The 26,166-nt window shown below is 52.8% G+C and overlaps 1 protein-coding gene across 5 annotated transcripts in view, besides 10 other annotated features; it reads left to right on the forward strand.

The window, feature by feature from the left end:
* Positions 1–26,166, forward strand: part of SKI (SKI proto-oncogene) — an 81,895-nt gene that overhangs the window by 14,148 nt on the left and 41,581 nt on the right. Inside the window, exon 1 of one of the 5 annotated variants that reach the window (XM_017002128.2) lies at positions 4,767–5,605. The exons of the other annotated variants lie outside the window; for them this stretch is intronic. Within the exon in view, the coding sequence (XP_016857617.1) occupies positions 5,129–5,605 (477 nt within the window). The 5' untranslated portion in view covers positions 4,767–5,128. Of the gene's footprint in view, positions 1–4,766; positions 5,606–26,166 lie in introns of those variants that run through there. 5 annotated transcript variants of the gene reach the window in all.
* Positions 932–1,452: an enhancer, noted in NCBI's record as "H3K4me1 hESC enhancer chr1:2174837-2175357 (GRCh37/hg19 assembly coordinates)". NCBI's record gives its function as "activates a minimal SCP1, AML or CMV promoter by ChIP-STARR-seq in naive H9 embryonic stem cells {active_cell/tissue: H9 hESC(naive)}" and the evidence as "EXISTENCE:reporter gene assay evidence [ECO:0000049][PMID:30033119]".
* Positions 4,922–5,848: an enhancer, noted in NCBI's record as "OCT4-NANOG-H3K27ac-H3K4me1 hESC enhancer chr1:2178827-2179753 (GRCh37/hg19 assembly coordinates)". NCBI's record gives its function as "activates a minimal SCP1, AML or CMV promoter by ChIP-STARR-seq in naive and primed H9 embryonic stem cells {active_cell/tissue: H9 hESC(naive and primed)}" and the evidence as "EXISTENCE:reporter gene assay evidence [ECO:0000049][PMID:30033119]".
* Positions 5,849–6,774: an enhancer, noted in NCBI's record as "OCT4-NANOG-H3K27ac-H3K4me1 hESC enhancer chr1:2179754-2180679 (GRCh37/hg19 assembly coordinates)". NCBI's record gives its function as "activates a minimal SCP1, AML or CMV promoter by ChIP-STARR-seq in naive and primed H9 embryonic stem cells {active_cell/tissue: H9 hESC(naive and primed)}" and the evidence as "EXISTENCE:reporter gene assay evidence [ECO:0000049][PMID:30033119]".
* Positions 5,849–7,701: a biological region, named in NCBI's record as "hESC enhancers GRCh37_chr1:2179754-2180679 and GRCh37_chr1:2180680-2181606".
* Positions 6,599–6,993: a silencer, noted in NCBI's record as "fragment chr1:2180504-2180898 (GRCh37/hg19 assembly coordinates)". NCBI's record gives its function as "represses an EF-1alpha promoter that drives an FKBP-Casp9 reporter gene in an ReSE screen in HepG2 liver carcinoma cells {active_cell/tissue: HepG2}" and the evidence as "EXISTENCE:reporter gene assay evidence [ECO:0000049][PMID:32094911]".
* Positions 6,775–7,701: an enhancer, noted in NCBI's record as "H3K27ac-H3K4me1 hESC enhancer chr1:2180680-2181606 (GRCh37/hg19 assembly coordinates)". NCBI's record gives its function as "activates a minimal SCP1, AML or CMV promoter by ChIP-STARR-seq in naive H9 embryonic stem cells {active_cell/tissue: H9 hESC(naive)}" and the evidence as "EXISTENCE:reporter gene assay evidence [ECO:0000049][PMID:30033119]".
* Positions 13,084–14,283: an enhancer, noted in NCBI's record as "P300/CBP strongly-dependent group 1 enhancer chr1:2186989-2188188 (GRCh37/hg19 assembly coordinates)". NCBI's record gives its function as "activates an origin of replication core promoter dependent on BRD2, BRD4, P300/CBP, MED14 and CDK7 cofactors, with strong dependence on P300/CBP, by STARR-seq in HCT116 cells {active_cell/tissue: HCT116}" and the evidence as "EXISTENCE:reporter gene assay evidence [ECO:0000049][PMID:35650434]".
* Positions 13,324–13,618: an enhancer, noted in NCBI's record as "tiled region #12294; HepG2 Activating non-DNase unmatched - State 14:Gen5', and K562 Activating DNase matched - State 5:Enh". NCBI's record gives its function as "activates a minimal TATA promoter and a strong SV40 promoter by Sharpr-MPRA in HepG2 and K562 cells {active_cell/tissue: HepG2 | K562}" and the evidence as "EXISTENCE:reporter gene assay evidence [ECO:0000049][PMID:27701403]".
* Positions 14,286–14,883: an enhancer, noted in NCBI's record as "H3K27ac-H3K4me1 hESC enhancer chr1:2188191-2188788 (GRCh37/hg19 assembly coordinates)". NCBI's record gives its function as "activates a minimal SCP1, AML or CMV promoter by ChIP-STARR-seq in primed H9 embryonic stem cells {active_cell/tissue: H9 hESC(primed)}" and the evidence as "EXISTENCE:reporter gene assay evidence [ECO:0000049][PMID:30033119]".
* Positions 16,793–16,842: an enhancer, noted in NCBI's record as "active region_51". NCBI's record gives its function as "activates an Ori minimal core promoter by ATAC-STARR-seq in GM12878 lymphoblastoid cells {active_cell/tissue: GM12878}" and the evidence as "EXISTENCE:reporter gene assay evidence [ECO:0000049][PMID:35858748]".

The raw sequence follows: 26,166 nt of genomic DNA on the forward strand, positions 1-26,166 counted from the left end.
GAGTGGGTGTCCCTGCCCTCACTGTAATCTCTACCACATTGATGGAAAGATTTTTCTTTTTCTTATTTTTGGAGACAAGGTCTCGCTCTGTCATCTGTGTTGGAGTGCAGTGGTGTGATCCCAGCTCACTGCAGCTTTGACATCTTGGGCTCAAGAGATTCTCCCGCCTCAGCTTCCTGAGTAGCCGGGACTGTAGGTGGGCATCACCACGCCTGGCGGATATTTTTTTTAATTTTAGAGATGTGATCTCCGTTTGTTACCCAGACTGGTCTGAAACTCCTGGGCTCAAGTGATCCTCCTGCCTCAGCCTCCCAAAGTGCTGTGAGCCACCACTCCTGGCCTGAAAGTATTTTTCGTAATTGGATTTTTCCATATGTGCACTAAGGTCTGCCTTTTTCCCTGAATGAGGCATAACAAGTATTTCTGTGGCTGTGTTCTCTGTGGGAATATTATTGTGACATGCTTGTAAGAAGTAAGTGAAAAGCACACCAGCACGGTATTCACATAGCACAGAAGGTTATAAAAGGCAAACGCAGACATGGGTGAGGGCAGAGTTGTTCTTGGTTTGTCACAAGGGCGTGTGAACGCGGTTCCCCACCTGCCCTGCTCTGCTCAGCAGCTTTGGGATATGAGTGCCTTGGGTGCCTGGTGCCTTTTTGGGCCAGCCCTGTGGTATTTTGGAGTATCCGTTGGTATTGAGAGTCTGGAACTTACTTAGTGTCTGGGGCATGGGCCGTGTTTTGGTATCGCAAGAGATGCTTCAGGGCGCGTGTCAGCACAAACACATCACACGGGCTTCGTGACCATGTGCTGGCTGCACGAGATGTCAGTGTGCTCCGCGTACCACCTGCTTCATCCCCGCCCTGCCCTCTCGTGCTCCTCGGCAGGGGGCCGCCATCCTTATGCCCCGCCTGCCCTTTCTGCAGCTGTGGGTGCAGGCTGGCCGTTGTGCTCTGTTGCAGGAGCTCCTGTCAGGCTGCTGGTCTGCGCGTGTGCTCTCCGAGTGCCTGTCACTCTGGCTGACTCACTGTGTCAGTGTCACCGTGCAGCTTTGCTCGTCCTGTTCTTGTGCCTTGGGACGAGTGGGCAGAGTGCTTGCTGTTGGGTAGGCTGTGGTGCACCATGTGGGCCTGGGAGTGAAACAGCTTGGTCAGAGGGCATGTCGGTCACGCCAGGCTGTCTTCCAAAGCGTCCCAACACTCCCTGTCATCGGTCTTGTTGGCTGTAAACGAGTTCTCTGCTGCATGGGATGCTAGGGGTGTGGTGAGTTTCTTGTAGACGTGGCAGGTCAGAGGGGAGGCACACTGTCTGCCAGGCACCCTGTTATTTACTGATACACGCACACGCAATACACATCTCTATAGATTGCTTTTGTATGTTCACTCAGCTGGGATGATTCTGTGTGTGCTTAGATCTTTGTTCACGTTTCTGATCATTTCCTTAGTGGACTCTGAGATTCCCCTAAAAGGTGGGATTGTTTTACCCAAACTTTTCTTTCTTTCTTTCTTTCTTTTTTTGACACAGAGTCTCGCTCTGTCACCCAGGCTGGAGTGCAATGGCATGATCTCGGCTCATTGCAAGCTCCGCCTCCCGGGTTCATCCCATTCTCCTGCCTCAGTCTCCTGAGTAGCTGGGTCTACAGGTGCCCGCCACCACACCCGGATAATTTTTTGTATTTTTAGTAGAGATGGGGTTTCACCGTGTTAGCCAGGATGGTCTCATCTCCTGACCTCGTGATCCGCCTGCCTCGGCCTCCCAAAGTGCTGGGATTACAGGCGTGAGCCACTGCACCTGGCCCCTCCTGACAACTTTTAAGATTCTGTCATTTAGGCTGGGCATGGTGGCTCACACCTGTAATCCCAGCACTTTGGGAGGCCAAGGTGGGTGGATCACTTGAGGTCAGGTTTTCAAGACCAGCCTGGCCAACATGGTGACACCATGTTTCTACTAGAAAAATACAAAAATTACCTGGGCGTGGTGGTGTGCACCTGTAGTCCCAGCTACTTGGGAGGCTGAGGCTGGAGAATAGCTTGAACCTGGGAGGTGAAGGTTGCAGTGAGCTGAGATGGCGCCATTGTACTACAGCCTGGGTGACAGAGCGAGACTCTGTCTCAAAAAACGAAAAGCAAAAACAAGATTCTGTCATTTAGAGTGTCTTTGTTAATTTGAAAGGTGAAAAATCTCATCATTTAGTTTGTATTTCTTTGCTTTTTGGTGGGTTGATTGTTTTGTTATTTCAGTATTTTTTTCTGTAACTTGTGCATATTACATTTTCTTATTGTGGCAAAATAAACATAATGTTGACCATTACATGTAGCATTCAGCAGTGTTGAACACATAGGCTGACAGTGAAGGAATGGAAAAAGACATCCCATGCCATTGGTGACCAAAAGAAAACAGGAGTGGCTCCATTTGTATCAAACAAAATATACTTTTCTTCAGAAACTATTACTAGAAACAGAAAAGTAGTTACAGAACAATAAAAGGGTCGAATCAACTGGAAGATCTAACAATAATATATACGCACCTAACCTCAGAACAGCTAAAACTGTAAAGCAAATTCACGCTGCTGTTCACCCACCTTCCCAGGCTCAGCCTTTGTCCCCATGAGACACTCACTCCCCATTCTGCCTCCCCCAGCCCCCAACACCCACCCGCCGCTTTCTGTTTCTGTGACTTTGGTGACTCTAGGGGCCTCCTGTGAGTGGAATCGCACAGGATCTGTCCTTTTGTGACAGCTTATTTCACTCAGCACCATGTCCTCAAGGCGCAGCCATGCGTAGCCTGTGTCACAGTCTCCTTCCTTCTCAAGACTGAACCGCAGGCTGCTGTATGGATGTATTTTGTTTACCCATTTCTGTCAGTGGACACACGGGTGACTTCCACAGTTTAGCTGTCGTGAATGATGCTGCTGTGAGCACGGGTGCACAGTGACCTCTGGAGACCCTGCCTTCAGTTCTGGGTGTAGACCCAGAAGTGGGATTGCTGGATCATTGATCATTCTATTTTTATTCATTTATTTTTGAGACAGCATCTTGCTCTGTTGCCCAGGCTGGAGTGCAGTGGCACGATCTCGGCTCACTGCAGCCTCCACCTCCTCCTGGGCTCAAGCGATTCTCCTGTCTCAGCCTCCCAAGTAGCTGGGACTAAAGGCATGTGCCACCATGCCCAGCTGATTTTTGTATTTTTAGTGGAGATGGGGTTTCACCATGTTGGCCAGGCTAATCTTGAATTCTTGACCTTATGTGACCTGCCCGCCTTGGCCTCCTAAAGTGCTGGGATTACAAGCGTCAGCCACTGCACCTGGCCCTATTTTTCCTTCTTTTTTTTTTTTTTTTTTTTTTTTTTGAGGCAGGGTCTCACTCTGTTGCCCAGGCCAGAGTGCGGTGGCACAGTCTCGGCTCACTGCAACCTCCGCCTCCCAGGTTCAAGTGATTCTCCTGCCTCAGCCTCCTGAGTAGCTGGGGCTATAGGTGTGTGCCACCACACCTGGCTAATTTTTGTTTTTTTAGTAGAGACGGGTTTCGCCACGTTGGCCAGGCTGGTCTCTGACTCCTGGCCTCAAGCCGTCATCCCGCCTCGGCCTCCCAAAGTGCTGGGATTACAGGCGTGAGCCACCGCATTCAGCCCGTTTTTCTTTTTAAAGAACCGACTGTTTTTCATAGTGGCTGCAGCATTTTCCACTCCCAGCAACAGCGTTCGAGCAGCACTGTCTTTGCATCCTCTCCAGCACTTGTTCTGTTTTTTGACAGCGGCCATCCTAATGGGTGTGAGGTGGCATCTCATTGTGGTTTTGGTTCTCATTTCCCTGATGATTAGTATGTTGGGCATTTTTTCGTGTGCTTATTGGCCACTCCTATATCCTCTTTGAGGAATGTCTGAGTCCCTCTTTGAGTCGAGTTGTGTGTGGGGGCCTTTGCTCAGTTGTACGTCTTTATCTACTCTGGTTAGTGATCCTGTTCTACTTGTAAATTTCTGTCTCCTGTTTGTCTACTGCGTGCACCGTGGTCGGATCCTGCCTCTGTTGCTGGAGGCTGCCTCTGTCCTCTGCTGTGGTGGTCAGGAAGCTGGAGCGTCTCGGCGCCAGATTCATGTTTGTAAGAGGAGACGCTCTGTGAGCCTCGGTGTGCAGCGCTGTCTGCAAGTCAGACTCCCCACCCCTCCTTTGTGCGAGCTGGGCGGGGGCTCTGCCGGGACTGGTGGTGTTCATGGAGAGGGCTTCTGTGTGATGAAGAGATGACAGTGACCTGCTGGGGCCGAAGGCTGTGAGTGCCATTGGGGGAGGGAGTCTCAGAGAGTGCGGCAGTCGGGCCTGATGGGGCTGCTCTTCTGTGAAGGGGCACCTACCGTGTGCCTGGCCTGTAGCAGCAGCAAAGAGGAACCTGATGGGGGGGGCCTCAGGAACCTCCACCTCGCCCACTGTGGCCAGGCTGCTTCTGCTTTCTGGGAGGCCTGTGCAAGAGCCATGGGCACAGGCCGGGCACGGTGGCTCACGCCTGTAATCCCAGCACTTTGGGAGGCTGAGGCCAGCGGATCACAAGGTCAGGAGTTCAAGACCAGCCTGGCCAATATGGTGAAATCTCGTCTCTACTAAAAATACAAAAGTTAGCCAGGTGTGGTGGCATGCACCTGGTCCCAGCTACTTGGGAGGCTGAGGCAGGAGAATCACTTGAACCTGGGAGTCGGAGTTTGCAGTGAGCCGAGATTGTGCCACTGCACTTCAGCCTGGGCAACAGAGCAAGACTCCATCTTAAAAAAACAAAAAACAAAAAAGGGAGCCGTGGGCATGTGTGTGCACAGGTGTGCATGGGTGTGTGCAGCTGGAGAGGGAAGGGCCTGGGTCAGGGGCGCCCTCAGCCTGGAGCCAGGGAAGGGCAGCGAGAGGACCCCAGACTCCCAAATGACCAAGGGCCTGTTTGCAGCGTGCTTCTCCCTCCTTTCTTCTGGCTCTGAAGTTATATCCTGCCAGATCCTGGAGAAAGTTCTTTTAGCAAAATGATGGCTTCGCTGAAGATGATACTTGCCACCTCACAGAAGCCTGTCACGTTCCTCCCTTTGGAACCCATTGCCAAATGTGGGTGGTGTGGTGGACCCGGGGCAAGGGGCCATTCTCTGGCAGCCCCTAGAAATGCCTCCCTGGGGTTGGGGTGCAGCCACCAGGCAAGAAGTATGTACCCCCTTGCCCTGGCCACTTGGGGTTTCTGGGACAATCTGCTGGCTTGGCCTTGACTTTTTCCTGAACCTAGGAGCCCAGGGCCTGCTCCTGGCATCAGGACTTGCTCTTCCTCTTTCCTGGGCCCCACAGGTGCCCTTGGGGAGCACACAGCTGCCCCAGCCCGAGTCCAGTCTGGCTCTCGGGAAGGGGCCTTACTGCTGGCTGCACACCTTGGCCTCCTTCCCCTGGATGCGCCATTGCCAACGCAGCTGGGACAGCCCTTGGACGCAGCGTGCCCGCCCCTTTTACCAGGGCATGTGGGCTGGGACCAGTTTCAGCCCCATGTTGACTTGTTTGGCTCTGCTGGTGGTGACGGGGGGGCGCGGTGGCGGGGGGCCTTGGTCGCGTCGTGTCTGCTCTTGTGCACCGGTGCCTCACGGAGAGGCTGTGGTGAGTGCGCGGAAGGACCCTGGTGCTTTTGGGGACTTTCTGGAGCAGCCCACATTCCTTCCCCAGAGCCCTAGGGGCCTGGCCAGCTGCCTTTCCAGGCCCTGAGGCCACCAGGTTCTTGGGGGGAGCTCCTAGGTTCTGCTTTGGCCTGGCTGGGTGGTGCCCACACTGCCGCGTCCCCTCTCCGGGGCTGCCCGGACTCAGCCTGGCTGGCAGCCATTTCCGTTACTTGGTTTCCAAAGGCCCCATCTTGGAATCAGGAGCAGGCTGTGGGACTCAGGGTGGGTTCTGAGCTTGGTGACCCGCTCTGCTCTTTTGTCCGGCTTTGTCCTAACTGTTGAATATTAATGAGGGGCGCCGCAGGGTGGCTCTCCAGTGGAGGGTCCTCACTTTTTGTTTTGCAAATAACGCTGGGGCCCCTGCGCCACTGGGGCAATGCAACTGTGACGGTGCTGGTTGGATTCAAAAGGAAGCCTGGCAGTGGCGGGGCCTGGACAGGCAGCCTTTGACCTGAGGCGGGGCGGCGCTCTGCGCTGGTTCAGAAAAGCCGTGGGGCAGCCTCTCTGGCAGGCACTGGCTGTACCTGTTGGTTTTCCTTTGCCCACAGTGAAGTGAAAGTCACTGCAGCTGGGTTTGCTGTTTAACTCACTGTCTTTCCTTCTCACGTCTTCTCTGTGCAAATAGTGGTCAGTGTACTTTTTGATTATTTCAGTCAAGTGGAAGTTTCTAGGAGCGTAGAGAGGCAGCGTGGCTTAGGGTTTAGGAGCATGGCTGGGCTACCTTCCTACTCTGAGTGTGGGCCACGTTACTTTTCTAGGCCTCAGTTTCCCATTGGCCCCTCTCCTGTTTGGAAGAGGCAGCTGGGTCCCACAAGCCATCTCAGGAGCCGCGTCTGGGCGCTGGCACGGGGACTGTGCCCACAGCCAGCCAGCCTGGTGGTCAGCTGATGGATTCCCGTAGGTACTTAGCAAAATGCCTGGAGTGTGCGAGGCTGTCAGGCCAGTGGCAGATGCGGTCGAGTGCTGTTGTTTCTTGGTGCTGCCTGGCACTGCCACCCTGATGGTCGGCTCTGAGTTGGAGGCCAGCTTTCATGGCAGCGTTGTTGGTGGGCGTGCAGGGTGTGTCTGACCTGGGCCTGGGCATCAGGTCCCATTGTGGTTGGGTCCACAGGGCCCCTTGCCTCATTCGTGGAGGTGCTGGGGGAATTCTACAGGCTGAGGACGTGTGAGGCTCCAGGGTCCAGCGTGCAGGCCGGATGTTCCTAGCGTTGCCGGCCACGCAGACAGCCGTGCCACCAGGAGGTTCCCTGGCAATGGGAGACAATTGTCTGCTCAGTTCAGCCTTCAGTGCCCCAGGGCTGTTTTGAGATCAAGGCTGAGGGGGACCCTTTCAAGTGTCTCTGCCTTTGGTGGTCCCGGGTGGCCGGCTCCTCACCCATGGTGTGGTCTGAGTGGGCTGAAACCGACCCCAGGTGATTCTTATTCGGAAGAGATGTTTCTGGAAATGAGAGCAAGGCAGTGAGTGGAGAGCCAGCTGAGAGATGCTTGACTCCCCACCTGCTGCTGTTGGGGCCAAAAGCGTGGAGGAGGGAAGAGCCAGCACAGAGGGCTCACGGTGTCCCCTGCTCCAACCGACTCACTGGCCGCGGCCTCATGGGGCCTCCCTGTCCTGCCTCCTGCTCAACAGGCCACAGGTTTTGTTGGATTCGTCAATTATGACCCAGGTTGTTGAACTGGAATTGGAGATGTTTTTACAGTTGGAGAGTTTGTTACAGTCAGAACATTTCGGGTTGTTGGAGTTCGGTGTCTTGCTGCTGTTGCAGCTTGCATCTTTTGGCCACAGTTTTTTTTTTTGATACAGTGTCACTCTGTCTCCCAGGCTGGAGTGCAGTGGTGTGATCTTGGCTCACAGCAACCTCCGCCTCCTGGATTCAAGTGATTCTCCTGCCTCAGCCTCCCGAATAGCTGGGATTACAGGCGCCCGCCCACCACGCCCGGCTAATATTTGTATTTTTAGTAGAGACGGGGTTTCACCATGTTGGCCAAGCTAGTCTCGAACTCCTGACCTCAAGTGATGCAGCCGCCTTGGCCTCCCAAAGTGCTGGGATTACAGGCATGAGCCATCGCACCTGGCCATGGCCACCTGTTTTAAGGAAACCACTCAGTGTCTTAAAAGTTAAGGGTGCTCATTGCCCTGCTCAACAGAGAGTCCCGTGTGGTGCTGGGTAGCCCTCGTGCCGCTCTCTGGCCGTCCCAGAACCCGCTGTCCGTTCCCAGCGTGTCCTCGAGTGTGGGGTGGCCACTGCTGCCCAGGTATGCCACTGTCCATGGCTGATGGAGGAGCAGGAAGTGGCCCATTTGCAAGCCTGCTGCCTGTCCTTGGTTTGGGTCTTTTTATTTTGAGAAATCTCCAAACCTACATACAGCGAAGTTGCAGGAAGAACGTGGTGAGTCCCCATTCCCTGAGCTCAGCTGCTGCTGGCACTGGCCTCCTCTCGCCACGACTGTTTTTGCAACTTTTTGCCGGTCATTTGAGAGAATGTTTCAGTCAGTGGGGTCCTCCCTGCTAAGCCCTTCATTCTGAATTTCTAAAAGTAAGGGGATGTGGTGTGTGACCGTGACACGGTGACCAAGTCTGGGAAGCTGGCTCCCCTGGCCACGCTCTGCCGTGTCTGCCACGCCCTCTTCAGTAGTTTACTTCTGCCTGGGACCTGCCTGGCGGCTCAGCTGACTCTTCTCTTGGGCCTGCCTCGTTGCCCTAGGCAGCTGGCTGCGCGTTGGCAGGGCCCGGACGGGCAGGTGGGTAGCGGCAGCCCCGGGGGGCCGGTGCCCTATCAGAGGCGTGGGAGGCATCAGGAGCAAGCGGCCCCCATGCTTTTCTCAGGGGAGCCTCTCCCTTGGTAATTAATGAGTAATCCGCCGAGGGGAACTTTGGACCCCAAAAGTCCCCTGTCCCCATGGACTTTATCCGGGTGGGCCAGGATCCCTGGTGAGTCTGCTTGTCTTAGGGATGGGGACGTGGGGCACTGACCGCACTCTTGGCCACTGCTGCTGCTGGAGTCTCGCCTTTCTCCTCCCGCCTGCCTTCTTGCCGTGTAGTAGCGCTGCGGACCGTGTTCGGAAAGAGTCACTTACTGTCCGTTCTAGTCACAGTTTTGATGCCCAAGTTGACCTTCTGTTGGCTGCCCACAGGTCTGGGTATCTGCTGATGTTCTTTTATTTATTTATTTTTTGTAGAGATGGGGTCTCACTCTGTGGCCCAGGCTGGTCGTGAATTCCTGGGCTTGAGCCATCCTCCCGCCTGGTGTCCCACAGTACTGGGATTACAGGTGTGAACCCCCGCTCCCTCCCCCTGCCCCAGCCCCTGCTGAGGTCTTATTTCAGAGCCGGCAGGGTTTTCCCAGCTCTCAAGCGCCCTCACGTCCCACCACAGTGACGTATGGTGTGTTCACTCCTGTCCTGGTCCCCAGGTCGTGTGGGGCCATCGAGGCTCATCCCCAGCTGCAGCCGCCCTCCTTTCCCTGTAGAGCCCTCGCCTGTGTAACGGTTACTGCCTCTGTGTGGGCAGCATCTGGGGGGGCTGGCGCCGGGCAGTGGGAGACCTGCTCCATGTCACTGGTGGAACCCAATGTATGTGATAGGTTCACAGGTCTCAGCTGTGAAATTGTGTTTGTACACGGTGGCTTTTTCTAGAAAAATGAACCGCAAAGTATTTCTTTCCTCGTGAATGTCGACCATTTTCTCGAGTCTGGTTGTTGTTGGCCAGTGACACAAACCTGCAGCTTCTCCCCTTCTTGCTTCCCTCCCCGCCCCTTGGCTCCGGGCACAGCGTGGCTGAACCGGCTTATCTGGCCTCGTCTCTGGAGGCCTCCCCAGCTGTCATGTCCGTTGACATTTCACTGTTCCTGGCAGTGGCTGTGCCCAGACGCGCCGTGGCACGTGGGAGTGATGCTGGTCTTTGCCAGTGCTCTGCACACCTGTGGGGAGGCCTCTCGGGGTTTCCTGCCAGGTCTCTGTGCACCCCCCGGTGAGAGATCTGAGGAGGAGGAGGAGGAACCGAGGGCAGGTAGGGCGCTCTTCAGATGTGGAGGGTTGGAATCTCCAGTTTAATAACAAACTTTATCCTACCTTAAGTTTTCAAAAGTCTTGTAAAGAACGGGTCCATTCATTTTTAGCTGCTCCGTGAAAGGTGAGAAAGCTGAGTAGGGGGCTGTGTCCCAAGACCAGGGTTTGCTGTGGCCTGGCTCGATTGAGAATCCCCTGGGCCCCAGGAGGGTGCTGTGGCTGCTGAGGAGGCTGCCCCACGTTCTGATCCTGGTGCAGGGCTGCACTCAGCCTCCCCAGAAGCAGCTTGGTCCCGGGTCCCACCTGGCACTAACCTCTGCAGGGCCCCTTTATGTCATGGTGTTTTGGCCTGTGGAAGGCTTTCGTCCGTCTGAGCTGCTGACTGAGGGTCTTTATTTCCACACTCGAGAGAAACCTGGCGGCCCAGCAGTCAGTGCCCGCGGAGCAGGTACAGCTCAGGGAAGGGAGCAGCCCCTTGCTCACGGTCCTTTCTGGCACAGTCTGTGGCCCTCTGGAGTACCCGGCCAGCGTCCTCACAGCTGTCCCCAAACGCGTGGTATGGGTTCCTCCCTCAGGGCCAGCACCAGGCTGGTGCTCAGCTCTTCTGGAAGAGCCGTCCCATGGTCCCAGCGCATCCGTGGAAGAGTGAAATATTGAACGTTACAAGAAGGAAGTGAGGCCAGGCGCGGTATCTCGTGCCTGTAATCCCAGCACTTTTGGAGTTGGCGATGGGCAGATCACTTGAGGTCAGGAGTTTGAGACCAGCCTGGATCAAAATGGCAAAACTCCATCTCTACTGAAAATACAAAAATTAGCCGGGCGTGGTTGCAGGTGCCTGTAATCCCAGCTACTTGGGAGGCTGAGGCATGAGAAGAGCTTGAATCCGGGAGGCAGAGGTTGCAGTGAGCCCAGGTCATGCCACTGTACTGCAGCCTGGGTGATGGAGTGAGACCCTGTCTGAAAAAAAAAAAAAAAATAGAGTTGCTAAATTGGAGTAAATATTTCATAACGCGATTCAGTTCAGTTGCTTTAGCTGCTCTGTGAGTCCAGCACCCGCCTGCAGCGCAGCCTCCCCTGTGGAGTCTGGAGCACCCAGGCCTACATCACAGGCTCCAGAGCACCCGGGCCGGTATCACGGGCTCCAGAGCACCCAGGTTGGTATCATGGGCTCCAGAGCACCCAGGCCGGTATCACGGGCTCCAGCACAGCGGGCAAAAGGTGGGAGGCTCCCCAGACTTTAGGTGTCTGGAGTTATCCATAAAGGGGGCTTCCTGAGTTTTGGTGTATCCCTTGGTTTACAACCCAGGGAGAAGCCTGGCCACTTGTGAGTGCAGGTCGTCCTTGGACACACACTTGGAGGAATCGGAAGGAACAGGACACGCAGCCTTATGTTCCTGTCAGCCCTTCCTGCACATATGCCCTGTCTCAGGGGGCTGCTGGCCTCTGCCAGGGCCTCCTCACTTTTGTTCCTGAGGACATCTTCCCAGCGCGTGTGCACTTACTAAATGAGCCACATGCCCCCAGTTCTGACAGCTAGGAACGGTGCGAGCAGATGGAGGATGGAGCTGGTGCTGCTGCCCACAGGGGCCCTGGGAGTGAGGCTGCGGGTCCCTCGTGCCCTGGTGCGGCCCTGGCTTGAGGCCTTGGTTTGGGGGTGTTGTGCCCCCCCTACCAGGGCTGAGAGCCCACAGTGACAGCAGAGGGGAGGTGTGTGCGGGGGCCGGGCATCGATGCTGGACTTGCTGAGGGTTGCTTTCTGGTGGTGTGCACACATCTTGGGCCAGAGTGGTGTCCCCAGAGTGCCTGCTGCTGGAAGAGAAGGCTCTGGGTCCTTCTGGATGCCCATCCTGGCTGTGTGGACCACGGCGGCAAGGGCCACGTGCCTGGTCGTCAGGCCACGGATGCTTGTCCGGAGCTGCCTCATGTGGCTCTTGCACAGAAGGCACCATTCTAGACATTCCAGGTGGGCTCCAGTGACCATGAGGGGCTGGGGTTGGCACTGGCGCTGCTCCTCTGAGGTGTTGGACCCACGTGGGAGCTGCTTGTTCCCCTCCAGACACTGATTGTGAAGAATCTGGAAGGTCCACGCTAGAGGAGGCCACGACCTGCTGGTGCGCCTGCAAGAGTGCTGGCCCAACTGGTCTCCATGCGTGGTGCCCGTTGGAGGGGGTGGGAGGGCTCGGCTCTGCTCTCCCCCCGTGGGTCTTCGTGTCACAGGGTGCTTGGGGGACTCTGCTGCACTGAGATCTCCAGCGTGACATGTCCCCGTCCCAAACAGCCCTGAAATGGCAATGCCTCATCCTAGGATTACCGTCCCTTCCCGAAGGCTTGAGGTCCTACTTAGATGTCTACTGGACTGCTTTTTATTTTAATTTACTTGATACTCAGTCTGGGTGCGTTGAAGACGCGGCCTCTGGCTGTCAGCCTGTCCTTGTGTGCAGTGACCGGTCTACCTGTCTGGCCTTGTGCCTAGACTTGTGGCCGTCACCACTATCTCTGGGGAGGGGTGAAGTGGACTGGGAGGTAGGAGCCGAATTGGAGTCTTCTCTTTGTTCCTGAAGTTATCACAGTCTTGGCCAGACTGTGGTCACTGCGTGCGTGTGTGTGTGTGTGTGATGCGCAGGGCATTTGCTGGTGGAATAGCACGGGCCATTGGCATTTGCACCTGAGGCGTGCAGCCCCCCTGCTGCACACCTATGGGGTCCCTGCGGTCAGGTGAGCTCTGGGGGGTTTCTGAGGGTGGAGACAGCCACAACAACACTTCTTTCCTCCAAATGCCTGTGCTGTGCACTTGGGTGCAGGTGGCTTTTAGGGGACATGGCTGGGCACTGCCCCACAGTGTCACCTCTGTGTCCTGTGGTGCGTGCTGTGGACTGGCACCACACCCCACGTGCTTGTTAGGCCAGTTTCTCTCAGGTGTCGGTCACCCTACCATGCGGCCTTTCTTTTGTCTTTTATCTTTAGCTAAGGAGTCCATGGCATACCAAAAGCTGAATGATGACAGCCAGTGTCCCCATCCTGTCCTCCCCAACTTTCCACAGGCAGGGACGCTCCCCATTCTTGCTGCATAGTCTTCTGTTGACCCCATGTACCTGAGTGACCCCCACGTACCTGAGTGTGACAAGCACTATGGTGCTTGACCTCAGTCCAGCTGCTTAGACCTGTACCTGCCACAGCCCCACGTGCTGACACCTTGCGTCTTGAGTTTTGATAAATCTATCCTTTGGCTGATTAATATGACTGAGTGGTGTCTTCTGACCCCATTTCTTATCTGGAACACTGTGTCCTGACTTCATTTCCTGTCTGGAGCACACTGTCCTGACCTCATTTCCTGTCTGGAACACACTGTGTCCTGACCTCATTTCCTGCCTGGAGCTCTCTGTGTCCTGACCTCATTTCCTGTCTGTGCCGCTCTGTCCTGACCTCATTTTCTGTCTGTGCCACCCTTTGTCCTGACCTCATTTCCTGTCTGGAACATGCTGTGTCCTAACTGCATTTCCTGTCTGGAGCTCTCTCTGTCCTGACCTCATTTCCTGTCTGGATCTCTCTATGTCCTGACCTCATTTCCTGTCTGGAACATGCTGTATCCTGATATCATTTCCTGTCTGTGCCACTTTGTCCGGACCTCATTTTCTGTCTGGAGCACTCTGTATCCTGACCTCATTTCCTGTTTGTGCCACCCTTTGTCCTGACCTCATTTCCTGTCTGGAACATGCTGTGTCCGGATTGCATTTCCTCTCTGGAGCTCTCTCTGTCCTGACCTCATTTCCTGTCTGGAGCCAGTGACCTCATTTCCTGTCTGTGTCACTCTGTCCTGACCTCATTTCCTGTCTGTGCCACTCTTTGTCCTGACCTCATTTCCTGTATGCAACACACTGTGCCCGGACTGCATTTCCTGTCTGGAGCTCTCTCTGTCCTGATCTCATTTCCTGTCAGGAGCACTCTGTGTACTGACCTCATTTCCTGTCTGTGCCACTCTTGTGTCCTGACCTCTTTTCCAGTCTGTGCCACTCTGTGTCCTGACCTCATTTCTTATCTGTGCCACTCTGTGTCCTGACCTCATTTCCTGTCTGGAGCACTCTGTCCTGACCTCATTTCCTGTCTTGTGTCCTGACCTCATTTCCTGTCTGGAGCTCTCTGTGTCCTTACCTCATTTCCTGTCTGTGCTGCTTTCTGTCTTGGAGTTGCGTGCCTGACCTCATTTCCTCTCCACTGTGTGTTCCTGGAGTTAGGCATCATCTTGGTTTTTACTCCCTTGCTTGGTTTTCTCAGGATCTCTGGCTGCTCCGTCCTTGCTCCAGCGTTCTTCTCTGCCCCCTCCCTCTGTGGTCCAGAGGCCGATGGCCAGCTGGCCCTCACCTGCCCGCCCTGGGTATTTCTGTGCTCTTCCTGGTGAGGGATTCTAGGGGTTCCCCTCCTGGGTTCATCCTTACCTGAGTAGCCACAGCACACTGTGCAGTTGGGTGCCTGGGAGGCACGTGCTTTGGGTGTTGCATGGCTGACCTGGTAACTGGGCACCCGTGTATGGAGGGCTGGAACAGAACACTTGTCGGCGCTCCTCAGCGTCTTGCCTCTGGTGTCCCCATGGCGAAGTCCCCTGCCATCTGCTTTGGGCTCTGACATGTGACCTGACTGTGCCCTTCAGGAGCTTTCAGAACCTCCTCTTAGATCTGGCATTCAAAATGTCTTGTCAGACACCTCGAGGCGGCTTGTGTTTGGCCCTGTGTTGGGCGCCTATTGGGCCCTTGTCAGGTTTTTGTTGCCAGGAGGCTCGCGCCCCGATCTTCGGGATGGTGCCCGTGGCATCTTCTGCTCGGTGCTCCCTAGGGCTGGACGTTGGTCCTCCTGGCACTGGTGCTCCGGTTGCTGTGGTCTCCCTGCTGTTCCCTTGTGGCTCAGGATTACTCTCTGGAGGTCTCCGCCTTATCATGAGCACTTTCTTTGTTGGCTACTTTTAGTTTCATGATTTCATTTTCGTTTCTAAGATATCTATCTCTTTGTAAAAGCTCCCACCTTTTGTGACTTGTGGATGCTGTATCTTTCTCCTGTTGCTGCAGACATTAATGATGTTTTTCTTGACAGTTTGTCCTGCTGGTTTCCTCTGCATTCCTTTGGTTGGTTTCAGACCTCGGCTTTAAAGGGGCATTTCCCCACATTGCCAATTCTTGACCATCTGGTCACGTCAAGGCTGACGTGCCAATGGCTGCAAGGGGGAGGGCACCTGGGAGCCCGCGGATGGCTCTTATGCAGACGTGCGGGCCAGCCCCGATCCTGCTTCTGCAAGGCCTCCCCTCCCATGGTGGCGCTTTGGTGCCAGAGCGCGTCGGCGTGGCTCCCTAGCGTCTGCCTCTGCAGCTGCTTGGCCCCCAGCCGCCTCCTCCCAGCTGCCTCCTGCCCTATGTGTGCTTGAGCTCGAGACAATGCTTCCTTCATCCAAGAGCCGGGCTCTCGGCGATTTTTGAGAGGAGAATGGGGTTGAAGCGATGTTGCTCTTCCGTCTTAAAACTGGATTTCTTTCCTCATGCTTTTGAATTATTATATCTTCTTGACATGTTTCTCTGGATTTGCAAAAGATTTTTATATTTTATATATTTATTTATTTACTTATTTATTTATTTTTGAGGTGGAACTTTGCTCTTGTTGCCCAGGCTGGAGTGCAATGGTGTGATCTGGGCTCACTGCAGCCTCCGCCTCCTGAGTTCAAGCAATTCTCCTACCTTAGCCTGCTGAGTAGCTGGGATTACAGGCATGTGCCACCATGCCTGGCTAATTTTGTAGTTTTAGTAGAGATGGGGTTTCTCCATGTTGGTTAGGTTGGTCTCGAACTCCCGACCTCAGGTGATCTGCCCGCCTCAGCCTCCCAAAGTGCTGGGATTACAGGCTTGATCCACTGTGCCCAGCCTGCACAACATTTTAAGTAAATGTTGACATTTTAAGCATTGAGCAAGGAAGAGTGTGAAGAGGTACTTTATAAAGGGAAATATGGCAATACTGATTATTTGCGACTTTAACCAGAAGTAATCTTTGGACAGCCAGATGTTATTGTCTTGGAATGTGGTGTTTTATCTAGTGACAATGTGTGTGCATGCACACGTGGACACACAGGATTCCTGGTCCTTAAACCCGTATGTTCGGTGTCTGCAGCATAGAATGGTCTCGGCTGGTATGTGTGGGACCAGCTCAGATGCCCCTATTCTAGATGCCGAGGCCGAATCGCCCCCTAGGGAGGATGGGACAGTGGCTGTGCTGAGCGTGCTACGGCGTCATGGAAGAACAGCAGAGGCGTTTGAGAATTGTGTTTTTTAAAAAGAGTTGAAACTTGTCAGTCAGGAAATGGAGTAACAGGTTTATCAGGAGTGTCATTTTCCTTTTTTTTTTTTTTTTCTCCCATGAGTGGCTTGGTCGGGGAACTCATGTTTTTTTTTGTTTTTGTTTTTGAGTCAGAGTCTAGGTCTGTCACCCAGGCTGGAGTGCTGTGATGTGGTCTTGGCTCACTGCAACCTCTGCCTCCCAGGTTCAAGGGATTCTCCTGCCTCAGCCTCCTGAGTAGCTGGGATTATAGGCGCCTGCCACCATGCCCGGCTAATTTTTTAATTTTTAGTAGAGACGGGGTTTGTTGGTCAGGCTGATCTTGAACTCCTGACCTTGTGAGCTACCCACCTTGGCCTCCCAAAGTGCTGGGATTACAGGCGTGAGCCACCGTGCCTGGCGGGAGCTCATGTTTTATCTGAGGTGGCCCAGGGCCCCACCTGGGAGCAGGGTCAGCAGTGCCTGGCCCTTGAGTGTTTGCCTCGGGGTGTGTTCCTTTTAAATCAGATCAGCTCATCACTTGGCCGGTTTTCTAGACCAGCATATTCAAACCCAAGGTTTGGAATCTTGGGCTGGCTTCTGAAATGACATGCTGTGGGCTCCATCCCCAGAATTCTGGGTTCCCAGGTCCGAGGTAGGGACTGAGAATGTGCATCTCTAGCAAGTTCCCAGATGACATGGTGGCTCCTCCGGAACCCCTGCCTCCTTTTGTGGGTAAAGTTTTACAGGTGCATGGCCACGCCCCACCGCCCTCGCCGGTGCTGTCTGTGGCTGTTTTGTGCCACAGCAGAAAGGCTGAGTAGGTGCGAGAGAGACCATGTGGCCTACAAACCCAAAATATGTGTGATTTGGTCCCTTACGGAAAACACTTGCAGGTTCCTGATCTAGAGAAAGAATAATTGTAACGCAGGGCTACATTGTTTTTGTGAAACTCTTTAGGATGGAAAAGGGCATCTCTGAGGTCAGCGACAGAAGCCGTGGTGGTTTCATGCCACCAGTTTACCTTTGTCCTGAGCTGTGGAGGTTGTTTAAAGCTATAGATCAAATGAAGCCTGGAATATAAGGGTGCAGTTAGGATGATTGCTGTGTAGTTATTTTTTAAAACGGCTTTTTGAGGCATAATTAACATAAGCTGCGTATATTTAAAGATACAGTTAGATAACTTTTGATGTATGCAAACACATATAAAACATGTATAAAACCCTCGCTGCCGTCCAGATGATGAACCTGTCCGTCACCCAGAAGCTCTCTCCTACCCACACCCCTTTCTCCCCAGGCTGCAGCAGTCTGCTTTTGGGCCTGTAGATTCGTTGCCTTCCTTAGAGCTTTGTCTAAATGAAATCCTACAATATGTTCTTCTTTTGGTCTGGCTTCCTTCCCTCAGCGTCATTATTTTGGGCTCCTTGGATGCGTGGCGTGTGCTGGGCAGTGTTCCCCTGCGTGGATGTCGCGTTTGTTCCTCCATTTGCCCGTTGGAGCGTGTGGAGTGTTTCCAGTTCTTGACTGTCACAAAGAAAGCGGCTGTGAACATTCGGGTACAAGTTGTTGTCGGGATACACGGTTTTATTTCCCTGGATAGATACCTAGGTGTGGAATGGCTGGATCATATATTTGTGCTTATGTTTAACTTTTAGAAACTGCCAGACTATCTTCCAAGGTGGCTGCACCATTCCTCGTCCTACCAGCAGTGAGTGAGAGTTCCTGCTGCTCCACGTCCTGGCCAGCGTGTGTGGTGGGCGGGCTTAGGCGTTCAGCCGTCCTGATGGGTGTGCGGCGGCATCTCCTTGAGGTTTAAGTTGCGCTTCCCCAATCGTTGAGAACGTAGAGTGGCTTCTCTTGTGCGTATTTGCCACCATATGTCTTCTTTGGTGAAATGTCCCTTCTGATTTTTGCCAGTTATTTTAGACTGGGTTTGTTGTTTTACTGTTGACTCGTGAGATCTTTACGTATTCTGGATGCAAGTCCCTTTTCACATTTGCGCCTTACGTAGACTTTGTCCCTGTCCATGGCTTTCCTTTTCTGAACGGTGTTTTTTGAAGAGTAGAACTGCAAAATTTTTATGGGATCCAATTTTTCAGTTTGTTCTTTTTCTTTTTTTTTTTTTTTTTTTTTTTGAGACAGGGTGTGGTTCTGTTGCCCAGGCTAGAGCACAATCTTGTGATCTGGGCTCACTGCAGCCTTTACCTCCCAGGCTGAGGTGATCCTCCTGCCTCAGCCTCCTGGCTAGCTGAGACTACAGGCACATGCCACCACACCTGGCTAATTTTTGTATTTTTTGTAGAGACGGGGTTTCGCTATGTTGCCCAGGCTGGTTGCGAACTCTAGCTCAAATGATCCGCCTGCCTTGGCCTCCCAAAGTGCTGAGATTACAGGTGTGAGCCACTACGTCCGGCCTCAGTTTGTTCTTTTGGTTTGGACTTCGGTTTCCTAGCTGGGAACTTTGTCCCTAACTCAAGGTCACAGAGATTATCTCCTGTATTCTAGAAATTTTGTAGCTTTAAGTTGTATATTTAGGTCTGTGATCCATTTTGAGTTAATTTTTGTGTGCAATGCAAGGTGTGGACCTGAGTTCATTTCTTTGCCTAAGGTGTTCAGATGTTTCAGTGGAGTTTGTTGTAAAGATTAGTTCTCTACTGGATTGTCTTTGTGCCTTTGTCAGAAATCAGCTGTGCAGATGTGTATTCAGTTGATCCACTTGTTTATCTTTTTACATCAACGCCATGCTGTTTTGGATTATTGTAGCTTTGAAATAATTGTTGAGGTCAGGTGATATTCGCGCTCTAACCCTGCACTTTTTCAGAGCTGTTACAGCTATTCGGGATCTTCCACTTTTCCATATGAATTTTAGAATCAGTTTGTCAATTTCTGTGAACATTTCTGGGAAATTTTGATTGGGATTGTATTGAGTCCATAGATAAATTGGGAATATCTTAACAATCGGGAGTTTTCCGACCAACGGAAAGCTCTCTGTTTATGGGTTGTTATTAATTTAGTATTTTGTAATTTTTAGTGCACAGGTTTTTACCATCTTTTGTCAGATTTATTGATTTATCTATTGAGGTTTTTTCTTGGTCTTGTAAATAATATATTTTAAAAATTCGATTACTGGATATAAACGGCCACTACAGTTCTTATATGTTGATCCTGCAGCCTGTAACCTTCCTAACTTGCTCATGAGTCCTAGTGGCTTTTATTGTAGTTGCCATTGGGTTTTCTGTGTAGATGATCATGTCGTCTGCAGTAAAAGCAGTTTCACTTCTTCCTTTCCAGTCTGGATGCTTTTTTATTTGTCCTGCTTAATGGCACCGGCTAGGGCCTCCAGGGCAGTTTGAATAGGAGTGGTGGGAGTGGACGCCCTCGCTCCTGATCTCCTGATCTGGAAGGCGTGGAATCAGAGTTTGGATGGGAGTGGTGGGAGTGGACGCCCTCACTCCTGATCTCCTGGTCTGGAAGGCGTGGAATCAGAGTTTGGGTGGGAGTGGTGGGAGTGGACGCCCTCGCTCCTGATCTCCTGATCTCCTGGTCTGGAAGGCGTGGAATCAGAGTTTGGGTGGGAGTGGTGGGAGTGGACGCCCTCGCTCCTGATCTCCTGATCTCCTGATCTGGAAGGCGTGGAATCAGAGTTTGGGTGGGAGTGGTGGGAGTGGACACCCTCGCTCCTGATCTCCTGGTCTGGAAGGCGTGGAATCAGAGTTTGGGTGGGAGTGGTGGGAGTGGACACCCTTGCTCCTGATCTCTTGATCTCCTAGTCTGGAAGGCGTGGAATCAGAGTTTGGATGGGAGTGGTGGGAGTGGACGCCCTCGCTCCTGATCTCCTGGTCTGGAAGGCGTGGAATCAGAGTTTGGATGGGAGTGGTCGGAGTGGACACCCTCGCTCCTGATCTCCTGATCTGGAAGGCGTGGAATCAGAGTTTGGGTGGGAGTGGTGGGAGTGGACACCCTCGCTCCTGATCTCCTGATCTGGAAGGCGTGGAGTCAGAGTTTGGGTGGGAGTGGTGGGAGTGGACGTCCTCGCTCCTGATCTCCTGATCTGGAAGGCGTGGAGTCAGAGTTTGGGTGGGAGTGGACGCCCTCGCTCCTGATCTCCTGGTCTGGAAGGCGTGGAATCAGAGTTTGGGTGGGAGTGGTGGGCGTGGACGCCCTTGCTCCTGATCTGGATTTGGCACCGTCGAGTGTGATGGTGCATGTTGGGTTTTCGCCAGTGCCCTTTATGAGTCCGAGGAAGTCCCCAGAATACGGTTCCTAGTTTGATCAGGAAGGATATTGGGTTTTGTCAGGTGTTTTTTTTTCTTAATTTATTGAGATTATTAATATGGTGAGTGTCTTTCTATTTCAGGTTACTAATGTGATGAATTATATTGACTGATTCTTGAATGCTAAACCAATTGTTCATTCCTGGGATAGCCCCCCTTCAGTCGTGATGTATTATTATTTTAGAATATTGTTGAATTTGTTTTTTTTTGTTTTTGTTTTTGAGACCGAGTCTTGCTCTGCACCCAGGCTGGAGTGCAATGGCGCTATCTCGGCTCACTGTAACCCCCGCCTTCCAGGTTCAAATGATTCTCCTGCCTCAGCCTCCTAAGTTGCTGGGATAACAGGTGTCCACCGCCACACCCAGCTAATTTTTTGTATTTTCAGTAGAGACAGGGTTTCACCATGTTGGTCAGGCTGGTCCCGAACTCCTGACCTCAAGTGATCTGTCTGCCTCGGCCTCCCAAAGTGCTGGGATTACAGGCATGTGCCACTGTGTTTGGCCTCTTGAGTTTTATTTGCTAAAATTTTGCTTAGAATTTTTTTTTTTTTTTTTTTTGGAGACGGAGTCTTGCTCTGTCGCCCAGGCTGGAGTGCAGTGACACGATCTTGGCTTGCTGGAACCTCCGCCTCCTGGGTTCAAGCGATTCTCCTGTCTCAGCCTTCCAAGTAGTAGGGATTACAGGCGCATGCCACTGTGCCTGGCTAATTTTTGTATTTTTAATAGAGACGGGGTTTCAGCATGTTGGCCAGGCAGTCTTGAACTTCTGATATTAGGTGATCCTCCTGCCTCAGCCTCCCAAAGTGCTGGGATTACAGGCGTGAGCCACTGCGCCTGCCAAGAATTTTTGCATTTATATTCATGAGGGATGTTGGTGTGTGTTTTTTTTTCTTCTTCTTCCCGTGTATCTTTGTCTGGTTTTGGTGTTAACAGAGTAATGTTCTTGTAGAATGATTTGAGAGGTATTTCCTCCTAAGTTTTCTGAAGAATTTTTTCTTTTAAAAATGTTTGGTGGGGGGACTGGGCGCGGTGGCTCATGCCTGTAATCCCAGCACTTTGGGAGGCCAAGTCAGGAGTTCGAGACCAGATTGGCCAATATGGTGGTGAGATGGTTCACCCATCTCTGTGCCACTGCACTTCAGCCTGGGCGACAAAGCAAGACTCCATCTCAAAAAAAAAAAAAAAAAAGTTTCGTGGGGCTAGGCATGGTGGCTCACGCCTATAATCCTAGCACTTTGGGAGGCCAAGGCAGGAGGATCCCTTAAGCCCAGGAGTTCGAGAACAGCCTGGGCAACATAGGGAGACACTGTTTCTATTAAAAAAAAAAAAGTTTCGTGGAACTTACCATTAAAACCTACTCGGACCCAGAGTGTTTTTTGTGGGAAGATTTTTAGCTATATAGACTATTCAGTTTATCTGTTCTTGGTTGAGAGTTACTGGTTTGTGTTACACAAGTAATTTTCTCAATTCAACTAAAAATGCCATTTCTCCCTTTGTTTCTGAAAGGTATTTGCGTAGGTATAGAATTATAGGTTGACTTCAAAAAGTTTCAATTTTTTTTGTGGTTTAATTTAATTTAATTTATTTATTTGAGATGGAGTCTTGCTCTGTCACCCAGGCTGAAGTGCAGTGGCACGATCTCGGCTCACTGCAACCTCTGCCTCTGGGTTCAAGTGATTCTCATGCCTCAGCCTCCCGAGTAGTTGGGATTACAGGCACCCGCCACCACACCTGGCTAATTTTTTGTATTTTTAGTAGAGACAGGGTTTCTCCATGTTGGACAGGATGGTCTTGATCTCCTGACCTCATGGATCCGCCTGCTTCAGGTTTCCAAAGTGCTGGGATTACAGGGGTGAGCCACTGCGTCCGGCCTGTTTTATTTTTTTGTAGAGATGGGATTTCACCATGTTGGTCAGCCTGGTCTTGAACTTGGACTCAAGCAGTCTGCCCTCCCCAGCTTCCCATAGTGCTGAGATTACACAGGCATGAGCCACCGTGCCTGGCCCCAATTTTCAGTACTTTAAAGATGTTGCTGTACTGTGTTCCTGCATGCGTGCTTCCAGAGAGAGATCTGCTCATCCTCTTCTTGACGGACATGCCTCTTCTTTTTTTCTTTCTTTCCTTTGTTTTTTTGAGACAGAATCTCACTCTGTCACCCAGGCTGAAGTGCAGTGGGACGATCTCAGCTCACTGCAACCTCTGCCTCCGGGTTCAAGTGATTCTCATGCCTCAGCCTCCCGCGTACCTGGGATTACAGGCACCCGCCACCACGCCTGGCTAATTTTTTGTATTTTTAGTAGAGACGGGGTTTCTCCGTGTTGGCCAGGCTGGTCTCGAACTCCTGATCTCAGGTGATCCACCTGCCTTGGCCTGCCAAAGTGCTGGGATTACAGGAGTGAGCCACGGCGCCCGGCTGGACATGCCTTTCTTTAAGATTGTCTCTTTGTCACTGCTTTGAGCCACTTTGCTGTGGTTTCCCCGTGCCGCATGTGTTTGGAGTACGTTGTGTAGTTTTTGTCAGGTTTGGAAGGTGTGTCTCCTGCGTCCCTCCTCTGGGCACTTGGTGGCCCGTGTGTCAGTCATGTGAATGTTGTCAGCTCAGGGTGCTCTTCTCATCTTCTGGATTCTTTTTTTTCCTCTATTTCCCTGTGAGTAGTTTCTGTTACTCTGTGTCCATATCACAAACCTTTTCTTCCACAATGTCTCCTCCACGGTTAATCCCATATAGCGGATGTTTCATCTCTAGAAGTTTGATTTGGGACTATATTATATCTTTCGTGTCTTTATTTTACTCTTTTAAATATGTGGAATACACTGTAATAACAGTTCCAGTGTTCTCTGTGAATTTCTATGTCTGTGTCAATTCTGGTTGTTTGCGATGGATGGATGATTTTCTTCATTGTGGTCCACATTTTCTTGCTTTCTGGATTCTAGACGTTTTGAAATGTGCCTGTTTGGGTGCTGAATGTTTTTGTATTCCTATAAATTGGCTGGGCATGGTGACTCACACCAGTAATCCTAGCACTTTGGGAGGCTGAGGTGGGCAGATTGCTTGAGTCCAGGAGTTTGAGACCAGCCTGGGCAACATGGAGAAACCCTGTCTCTACTTAAAAATACAAAAATTAGCCAGGCGTGGTGGTGCACACCTGTAGTCCCAGCTACTCAGGAGGCTGAGGTGGGAGGATCATTTGAACCCGGGAGGTGGAGGTTGCAGTGAGCTTCAATCGCGCCACTGCACTCCAGCCTGGGTGACAGAGCCAGACCCTATCTCAAGGAAAAAAATAAAATTAAAAAAAAATCTTGAGCTTTGTCTAGACTGCGTTCAGTTATTTGGAGGCAGCTTGATCCTTTTGAGTCTTGCTTTTGTGATTTTTTTTTAGGTGGGTCTAGAGCTGGGCTCAGGGCTCATTCTAGGCCTGATAATTCACCACTCCTGTGGCAGAATCTTCTGAGAGACATAGGACCCCATGAATTTGGGCAATTTCCTGTCTGTCGGGTGGAGACAGGCTCTCTGCCTAGCCTGGTGCAAGCCTCAGGCCTGTTGTCTCTAAATCTTTGTGGGTGACTCTTCCCCAGCCTCGTGGAGTTTCTGCACATACATACTGTGATCTGGGGTCTGCGGAATTGCCAGGGGCCTCTGCAGACCCCAGGCCCTCTGTGTGGTGCTCCCTTCTCTGCTGCTCCGTCCTGTGAATTCCAGCCGCCATGCTCTCCCTGAATTGTCAGCTCCATCTCAACCCAGTTTCTGCTGGGCCCTGCCTGGGTCCTGCTTCCTGTACCATGGCTGGGAACTCTCGGGAGGCAGTGAGCTGGGGCTGCCAGAGGGCTTGGCTCCACTTTGAATTTTGGGGACCACCGTCCTTTGCTGCCTGACCTCCAGGGTCCCTGGGGCCATTGTCTCCCATCTCCTGTCTTGTCTGCGTTTTTGGCCTTTCCAGGGAGGAGGGTGATGGGTCTCTGTGACTTCACCTTGGCTGCAGGCGGGCCCTGGCATCGCAGTCCATGAGTGACCTCCAGCTTCTCTCATCAGCCACCCCGTTCATCCACTCCATTTGTAAAATGAGATAGAAAATGAAGATGGTGCTGTCGTCACAGCGGCCGGATATCTGTAGCTCGTGGGCTCCCCTCTAGGCTGAGGCTCTTGTTGTGGGAGAAAGTTGCTCAGGGCCAAGTTTCAGATAGAAAGAGCGAAAGTAACTGGAAATGTTGAGATGGCCCTGGAGGCCCTCAGGGTGGCCTCTGCTTCAGGGAGGAAGGTGGGCAAATCACGCTCCGTGGCAGCAGGTTTAAAAACATCGCTGAATTGTGCTGACTGGCACATCCATTGTGAGCGGATGTGTTTTCCTTCTGCAATAATTTTGGCTACATTAAATTCGTTTTGTTAACATCTTCATCACCGCCTTTTCAGTTTCAGCGGGAATTGATTATGAACAAAGTGCCATGATTTTGACTATTCAGGCGAGCAACTGCATCGAGCCAGCACTGAACTGGTTTTGTAACAAGCTTGGTGTCCATATCGCTCTTAATAACATCTGCAGGCACAGGCGACGATAGCAGTTGTGGGCCAGCCGTCAGGAAAGGGGGGACTAGCACGTACCACTCAGAATTCAGCTTGCGCGGGCTGCGGTGGAGTTCTGGGGTTTGTTTGTGGGCATTTCCAGGTAGTCTGATCCTGTGAGGAGCAAGGAAGGGGTGTGTTGACAGGGCCGTTCGGGCCGGAGCAGGTGCGACAGGAATGTCCCACGTCCTCTCGTGTGCTGTCGGGAGACAAACCTCTTCCTGCTTCAATATCCCATTCGTTCCAGAGCCTCCTTTCAGGGTGGAAGGGGTGGTGGATGGCTTTGGGATTGGGCCAGGCCTGAGGGCACTGAGGGAGTGGGGCATTAGGGGCCACGTGGTCAGCACTGCACTCTGCTCTCATCGGAAGCTGGGCAGTGGCCAGAGGCCTGGGAAAGGCTTGTTGTGGGGGCGGGGGGCGCACCACACTTCAGGGATGCAGCCGGCCTTTGGGCTTCAGGAAACGCAGCTGGGACATCCTGAGGTGTGTGAGGCTGATGCATGGGCCTTTCTACTTCCAGACTGTCCCAGGACACGGGTCCACGGTCACACGGTCTCCAAATGAGCAGGAACACCTTGCATGCCCTGCGAGATGTGTTTGAAAGTCACACTTTGGTTCCAGGTCACAGCTTGAACCTCAGGCCACCTCCAGTGGGAGGCTGGAGGTCCTGTGTGCCACCCGGGGCCTGTGTGCTGTGGTGGTCGTGGCTCTGTGGGTGCCGGGCAGAGGCCTCCCAGGCTGGGCAGCCGCCACCCCTCTGTGGACGCTACTCACCCTTAGAAGCAGGTTCCCACAGGCCAGGGCACTCCCAACAGCACTGCGTGGAGCTGGTGCCCACCCCTGTGGTCAGATGCATGGCGCCCGCAGCCCTGGCCCAGGTGCCCCCTGGGTTGTGCGGCGGGGCCCTGGCTCTGTGGGTGGGTGGCTGTGCTGCCGCTGCTGTCGCCCATCCTTGGGGGCCGGCGTCGCCTCCCTGCTGCTCCTACTGTGTGCTTTCTTGCCCCTCCAGTGCCTCCCAGGGGGCTGTGTAGCCAGGTGTCTCAGAGGGCTCAGGGCTCCTGGTAGGGTTTGGGTGGGCTGAACCCTGCACCCTGGCCCGGGTGTGGGGTCCTGGTGCTCTGTGGCCTGGGACACCCGTGCTTCCTGCAGGCTCTGCGTGGCGCTGATGGAGGGCCTCTTGTTAAGGGGGCACGGTAGTGAGTCAGGTGCCCGGGGGCTCATAAGCCACCTTGGGGTATGTCTGGGTGCATGGGGACTCCTCTGGCCTCCCCAGCGGTGCTGAGCCGTCACTGCAGGGCAGCCATGGCCCATTTGGCTGGTGCTGAGACAAGGTGAATTTTCTTGGCTGGCTTGACAGGTCCCCCTTTCCCTCACCATG

This window comes from Homo sapiens, chromosome 1, assembly GCF_000001405.40.
Source record: "Homo sapiens chromosome 1, GRCh38.p14 Primary Assembly".
Classification (NCBI taxonomy): Eukaryota; Metazoa; Chordata; class Mammalia; order Primates; family Hominidae; genus Homo; species Homo sapiens.